This window comes from Homo sapiens, chromosome 15, assembly GCF_000001405.40.
Source record: "Homo sapiens chromosome 15, GRCh38.p14 Primary Assembly".
Classification (NCBI taxonomy): domain Eukaryota; kingdom Metazoa; phylum Chordata; class Mammalia; order Primates; family Hominidae; genus Homo; species Homo sapiens.
Genome location: NC_000015.10, coordinates 84,136,630 through 84,144,285, shown reverse-complemented (window position 1 = coordinate 84,144,285; position 7,656 = coordinate 84,136,630). Strand labels below are relative to the sequence as shown.

Here is a 7,656-nt window from a genome sequence, read left to right as displayed (position 1 = left end):
CTACTTGGGAGGCTGAAGCAGGAAAATTGCTTGAACCCAGGAGCCAGAGACTGCAGTGAGCTGAAGTCGCACCACTGCACTCCAGCCTGGGTGACAGAGAGCGAAACTCAGTCACACACACACACAAATTGTGGCATCACTGTTAGTATCAGTTAACAAAATATATGCAAATATGGTGAAACCGATTACGTAAACTGTTTAGAAAGTGAAAATTTACTATTGTTTTAGAAAAATTGAAGACTTGTGGTTTTGAAGAAAAACAACCATTATACAATAAATCTACTAATTGCTTCTTTTGTTTAGAGCTAAAAAAAAAAAAAGTTCCTCTTTCCCTCCTACCCCTACCCCCAGGGGACATAAAATTTACCTTTGATTTCCAAAGCATATCAGATTTTCAGATTTTTTCCAGCCATTACAGAGTCAAATAATAAGACAAATTCAGATACAACAGTGAAGGAATAACAACTTTTACCTCAATTCTACACTTGAATCAATAGACTCAAATCCTTTGAAATATGATCATCAATGCAATTATGTGCTGAACTGCTAAATTAACAGTCATCTGGGAAACATAAAACAAAACTAGTGACAATGTGCTTCTAATTGCATGGGGGTTCAGGATATTAGTGATATTTTATATTCTGCTTCATTGTTCACTAAACAGCATATATTTTCATAATAATGCTTTTTCCAACTACAAACAACCAAAGGAGCCATAACTCAATTTCCAAGATGAAGAGAAAACAAAAATAAAAGAAAAGATATACAATTGAAACAATGCCTTTAGTAGTTGGAAGAGAGGTAGGAGGGGCAGGAGAATGAAAAAAAAAAGGCAAAAATAAATTTAAATGACTGCTTTGAAGTCATTCTTCAGGTTGAAACAGCAGGCTAAATCAATTTCAACTCCTGTATATTAATGATTCAGTCATCTCTAAGCCTCCAATAATAAAAAGTGCCTGCCTGCCTGCCTGCCTGCCTACCTGCTGCCTGCCCTACCTACCAACCTGCCTGCCTGCCATGTGTAAGACTCTGGGCTAGGCAGGGGGATATAGTCTATAACCTACACTGAGGAGGCCTGGGTTGTGTTAACGAAACTGTAGCACAGTGAAGCACAAAATCTACTCAGCATTCATATGCCCTTCACCCTGAGGCTCTTTATAAACAGAGTTACAGGCTACACGTTTTACACACGAGCACTAGTGTGGACAGAGCACAGGCTCACGCATGCGCTCACATTGAAACTGCACTCAATTCCGCTCTGATTTGACGAAATTCTGTGGGAAAGACTGCCCCCTTGTGTTCATCTCAGTGCAGTTGTGACCCTGCTAGAGCTGGAACATCTGGCTGCAGATGCATTTTACCATCCAATGATGGCTTCAGAGAGGGGACTTCAGCCTGCTCAACCTCTACCCAAAATCAAGGCCAGTGTAAACGAGAAAGTGCCAATGCTTCTGAGCTCGTTCAAGTCCAAGAAAGTCATTCTGGACCTCTCCTGAGGCACAGCCAAGTGAGCTAGTCCTCATGGATCCAATCAGGATAACTGTTTTGTTTTGTTTTGTGTAAAAAACAAAAAACTCCTGCTTATGAGAAGAGATCTTTGGAAGGATGGAATTCCTCTATGTCAAATGGCCTCTGGACCTCTGGCTGTCTGAATGTCACTTAAAGCAATCCACAGATAGAGAAGAGGGCACAGAGGGTACTGAAAACAGCAACGTAACTAAGAAATACAGGAAAACCCAAGACATGGGCAGTGGAAAAGGTGAGGAAGGATCTTGGAAAACCAACTAGGAGAGAAAGGAAGGCCATAGAGATTCATCTACCTCAACTTCCTTCTACACAGATGCAGATTCAGGTCTGGAAATTCCCACAAAGTGGCCAACTTGCCAGAGCTCCCACTGGTAAAATCCAGTGCTGCTTCTCCTACCAGAGGATGCCTTATTTACTAGTTTGCGATCAACTGTGAAGCACCTATAAATAATTTGGAAGACTAAGCACCCAGTATGAGAAACCTAACCTAGTGATCAATATAGAACCAAACAGTAAGCACAAAATAAATGGGAGTAAATGATTAGGGTACAAAATTAAGCCAATAAAGGTTTCATTTTTCAGAGGAAAAAAATAGTTCACTGCATATTTTAAAAAAAACCTGTTTTCTTTTCTTTTTAAAAAACTTTGGATCCTGAGAAAGGAAGGCTTATAAAAGACACCTTATATTCCTTCCTCCCTCTCTCACATCCCTCCACCTCCAAATCCCAACTCCAAAAACAGGTACAATTAGGGAGAGGCTATGTCAATGCAGGAAAAGGTCTTATCCAAAAGCCAAAAACTTTGAAAAATGGAACTAGATTAAAGGCCACCCAGGTATATTAGAATTAATTTATGACACTAAGATAGCAGTTGGTTGCTCCAGAAGTTGAGAGAGAGAGAGGGAGAAAGAGAGAGAGATCCTGGGCTTCACAAATATCCGAGAGTAAGAAGGCCAAGGGCAGAAGTCTTTGTCTCAGGGAAGACCCTCAGGCAAAAGTAGTTCTGGCTGCTGCCTTCTGGCTCAATTGGAGACAGCTAGGACTGCGGCCGGCAAAATAAGACCTTGTATGAAAATGGAAAAGGCCGCTCCCTCAAAAGAGACTAGTGCTGGGATGATTTTAACTGTTTCAAATCATTTATTTGGTAATAATAAAGAAACCAGAACAACATAATGCTGGGTTTAAGCTGCAGTCCCAGCTTTAGCTCCCTAGTGAACTTATTTAAATTCACACACATGAATTTATTTCTTACTATGTATGCATGTATTATGCATAGATAGAAGTCTGGAAGAATACACCGATAACACCTGTAGGAGTCAGCCCTAGGAAGGCAACTTGCTTAGCTTTTTCTATATAATTACCTTTACAGTAAAAGAGTGGTCATAATTTACTTCTGTAAATAAGACGTCTTAACATAGACATTTAATGTATCGCAGGAGATAAAATCATTTCAAGTTCCTATAGAATAAATGTTTAAAAATAGCCCCCAATTATTAAAGCTAAAAGTGACAGAACCAGATTCAAAAATGAATTATTGATACCCTCAAAATCAAACAATACAGGCTGGCAAATACATCAGAATAGAAAACAGCATCCAGAAACAAACTACAGTATGTGTGGGAAACGTGGTAGTGAAACAGCGGGGAAGGAAGCAGGGGCAGGGGCAAGTTTATCTGATATACTGTGCTGGCACAACACCTATGCATCGGGAAAAAAACAAACCTGAATACCCAGCTTATGCGTTACCTGGGTCATGCCCTAGAAAGGCTTAGCCAGGCACATGAGAGTTATAGAACGTAAAACATTCAAAGAAAAACGCAAGGAAGAGTACAAATGCCAAAATAAATGGTAGAAAATAAGAGAATTTTTTTAAAAAAGAGAGAAAGCAGTAGTGGAGCTTAAGTCTATACAGCACACCTATGAGAATACTATACAAAATAACAACTTTAGGCAGAGGCAATTGAGTCTTGCCTTCCCTTGGGAGCAACCTTAGCTCAGGAGACTGGAAACCGGCTCCAAGCAGCTTCTGGGGGGTAATCTTGGCTTTACAAAAGCCTAGGACAATGTTCTCCCCTCCTGTTGACTGGACCATGGCACAGAGAAAAGGACAGAAAGATACTCAGAATATTTCTGCTTCTCTAACATCAAACGGCCTCGCCTTTTTCAGTCCAGGACATACCTGGGAGCCTCCCAGAACACAGTGAGGGCAGGAAGAACCAGTTAGTTTCAGTGTACTATCTGAGCTAAACAAAAAATCCCCAGTGATAACATCATCTTGGCTCTGGGAGTTGAATAATCCGAACACATTAAAACATCACTACCCTGATATTCTTTAATAAGAAATGTTCAGACCAAGAAAGTATTTTGCTTTCATCTAAAATTCCAGTAGATTTATACCGAAAAGCCAATGTGTTCACTTCTTTTTTTTTTCTGAGACGGAGTCTTGCTCTGTTGCCCAGACTGGAGTGTGGTGGCATGATCTTGGCTCACTGCAAGCTCCGCCTCCCAGGCTCACGCCATTCTCCTGCCTCGGCCTCCCAAGTAGCTGTGACTACAGGCACCCGCCACCATGCCTGGCTAATTTTTTGTATTTTTAATAGAGACAGGGTTTCACTGTGTTAGCCAGGATGGTCTACATCTCCTCACCTCGTGATCCACCCATCTCGGCCTCCCAAAGTGCTGGGATTACAGGCGTGAGCCACAGCGCCCGGCTGCCAATGTGTTCACTTCTAAAGAAATATTTCTATACTTTCTATCTCCCTTATGTACTTGAGATTTTTTTTTTTAAGACAGTGTTCCACTCTGTCACCCAGGCCAGGGTACAGTGGCACGATCACAGCTCACTGTAGCTCCAACCTCTTGGGCTCAAGCAATCTTCCACCTGGGTAGCTGAGACTACATGCAAGTGCCACCATGCCTGTTTTTTTATTTTTCTATTGTTTGTAGAAACGGGGTCTCACTATGTTGCCCAGGCTGCCTGAGAATATTTTAAACTTTGAAGAAATAAATGATGAACACTAAATAGCTTCTGGCTGCTCATGTATTCCCTCGCCTAAGCTTATTAAGTGATTAATTGATTCATGCATTCAACCAATATACACTGAACACTCAAGAGATCTTCACCAGGAATAATTAAGTGTGAAGATTTGGGAGGCCCAGTCCTTAGGGAATTTGCAGTTAGTCCTCTCTAAATCAGCAGGTCTGGGTGTTAGGAAGGTAAAAGCTCTGTGCTCATCTACAAAGGAGAGGGGGACTTTCTTCCCTAAGCAAAGATAACTAACTCTCCTCACTCCATGTATAAAACCAGAAAAAGGCCAAGTATTTTTTTAAAAGACCATAATGTATTTTATTCCAGGAAGAATCTACGTGCTTTCAACCCCCTACTGCTCTTAATATAATTCTGGAGGTTCAGTTGAGGATTTTCCTTGTAAATGATATCTTAAAAATATATATATATATATCCTTTTATTTTAATAAAACAAATTATACTGCAATTGTGTGGGCTGCTTTGTATTTGTGAACCATTATTTTGTCAGAATATCATTTTAGAAGAACATATGCCCATTTTTATAGTTAATAACTTCTTGCAAAAAAAAAAAAAAAGAACTCAAACTTTCACTCTGAATCTACCCCACACAGCTAATGGCTTTGTTGAACAGGCATATGGCTTGTCAGAGAAGAATCTGGGACAATATGGTTACTACTGTTTCCTTCTCCACTTTGTCTGTAAGCTTGTATTAATACATATGCCTCCCAGTAGAAAACTCTCTCCCTCCTCCTACTTTAAGCCACAGGTTCTGCATCAGCCACTCCTCCTTCTCCAAAATGTCTACTTGCGGAGTCACACTCCAACCCGAATCTGGAGTGGGGCTCCAACATCAATGTTGACAATTCAGGAGTTTTAAGGATTCACTCCTTTTGCCTTGGTTCTCAGAAAAACTAATTCCCTCTATCACCTGTGCAATTTCAAACTTCCTCTTAAAAGCTATCAAAAAGTTTTGAATCTTTGCAACACTGAATAGGAATGGAGAGGGAAAGTCAGAGTTTCAGCAACAGACAGTGAATCTGATTTCTTTTCTACATATATTGCTGGAGGACGTCTTTCAGATCAACTTCACTAGAACAAAAGAGTACTTTAGTACTTTTCCCCCAGAAAAGTACTCTTTTCCTACTTTTCTAGTAGCCTACTTAAATTCTCTGGATAAAAAAAGAACTGCATTTAAATAAATGACATATTTTTTAAAAGTGGAAAGCATTCTTTAATCTTCATAATTAAGTGCTTCACTTACCATTTTCTTTCTTTATGTGTGACTTTGGAGGTCTATTTATTAATGATAATACTTCCCAAGGAAATCAATGATAACAATGACGTTGCTTAATTAACATTTTGCCTTTTGATTTTTTTTTAAACAAAATAATGTGCATCATCCCACTGGATCTTCAGAGCTGCCTTCCATGATCCTCAGCTCACAAATAAGAAACCAAGGATCGGTGAGGCAGAAGAGAGGATCAGAGAGGTTGAAGAGAGGATCAGAGAGGATCAGAGAGGTTGAAGAGAAGATCAGAGAGGCCTGTTGCCCCGGGCTACAAGGCTAAAAAGTTAGCTGAACTAGAAATTTAACCCAAAATATTCTATTTCCAAATTAAACACTTTTTACCTCTCCACTCAATTATATGGGATAAATTCTACAAGACAGCATCAACAATGTCAAGGAAATATACTAATATTATTCCTTAAATTTTTAAAGAAAAAATTAGATAATATTTAAGATATAAAAAAAGGTAAGGCCAGGTGTGGTGGCTTATGCCTGTAATCCCAGCACTTTGGGAGGCCGAGGCGGGTGGATCACGAGGTTAAGAGATTGAGACCATCCTGGCCAACATGGTGAAACGCCGTCTTTACTAAAAATACAAAAATTAGCTGGGCGTGGTGGCGGGCGCCTGTAGTCCCAGCTACCAGGGAGGCTGAAGCAGGAGAATCGCTTGAACCCGGGAGGCGGAAGTTACAGTGAGCCAAGATTGCGCCACTGCACTCCAGCCTGGCGAGAGAGCAAGACTGCGTCTCAAAAAAAAAAAAAAAAAAGGTAAAAGAAAACTAAAACAGACAATATAGGCCCACTACTCATCTTAAGGAACAGACCTTAACCAATATTTGTGTACTTCTCTGCAATCATGTCCTCTCTCAAGATACCCATTATCTTGTACTTGCTGTTTATCTCTCTGTGCATTTATTTTTATTACATATATATCTGTTCTTAAACAATATACAGCACTTACATGGTTTCATTTTTGGATTTTTTTTTTTTTTTTTGAGAAGGAGTCTCACTCTGTCGCCCAGGCTGGAGTTCAGTGGCGCGATCTTGGCTCACTGCAATCTCCACCTCCAGGTTTCAAACAATTCTCTGCCTCAGCCTCCCGAGTAGCTGGGACTACAGGCATCCGCCACCACGCCCGGCTAATTTTTGTATTTTTAGTAGAGACGGGGTTTCACCATGTTGGCCAGGCTATTCTTGAACTCCTGACCTCACAGTCTGCCCCCCTCGGCCTCCCAAAGCACTGGGATTACAGGCGTGAGCCACCACGCCCAGCCATATATTTTTAACCTTTATATAAATTGTCTGCAACTTGCTTGTTTTTAAAATTAATTATATTTGTGAGACTGACTGAAGTTGATACATATAATGTACTTCATTCATTTTCACGAATGTATAATATTCCATTGTGCACCATAATCTACTTATCCATTCTTCTGCCAATGGATATTTAGGGTGCTTCCCTTTTTCTGCTTTCATAAACAGTGCTACTATAAATATCTTTGTACATGTCTCTTTGTTCAAGAGTGTACTTAAAGCTCCTCTAAGATACACACCTAGAAGTGGGATTGCTACACCCTGTTGTCAAGTATTTTTTAAAGTGGTTATATCAATTTACAACAACAGTTTACAAATGTTTTCACTGCTCCATATCTGTAACACAGAACATTGTCAGATTTTAACATTTCTGTCATTTTAATGGTTATGAAAGGACATCTCACCGAGATTTTAAAATGCATTTCCTTGATTACTTCACATCTAATGTCTGCCACATGTCATGTTTCAGGTCATACTAGAAACATGTTTCTCTATCCAAT

General features: G+C 40.0%; 1 annotated feature.

Moving 5' to 3' along the window:
- Window positions 1-110: a silencer, noted in NCBI's record as "silent region_6765". NCBI's record gives its function as "represses an Ori minimal core promoter by ATAC-STARR-seq in GM12878 lymphoblastoid cells {active_cell/tissue: GM12878}" and the evidence as "EXISTENCE:reporter gene assay evidence [ECO:0000049][PMID:35858748]".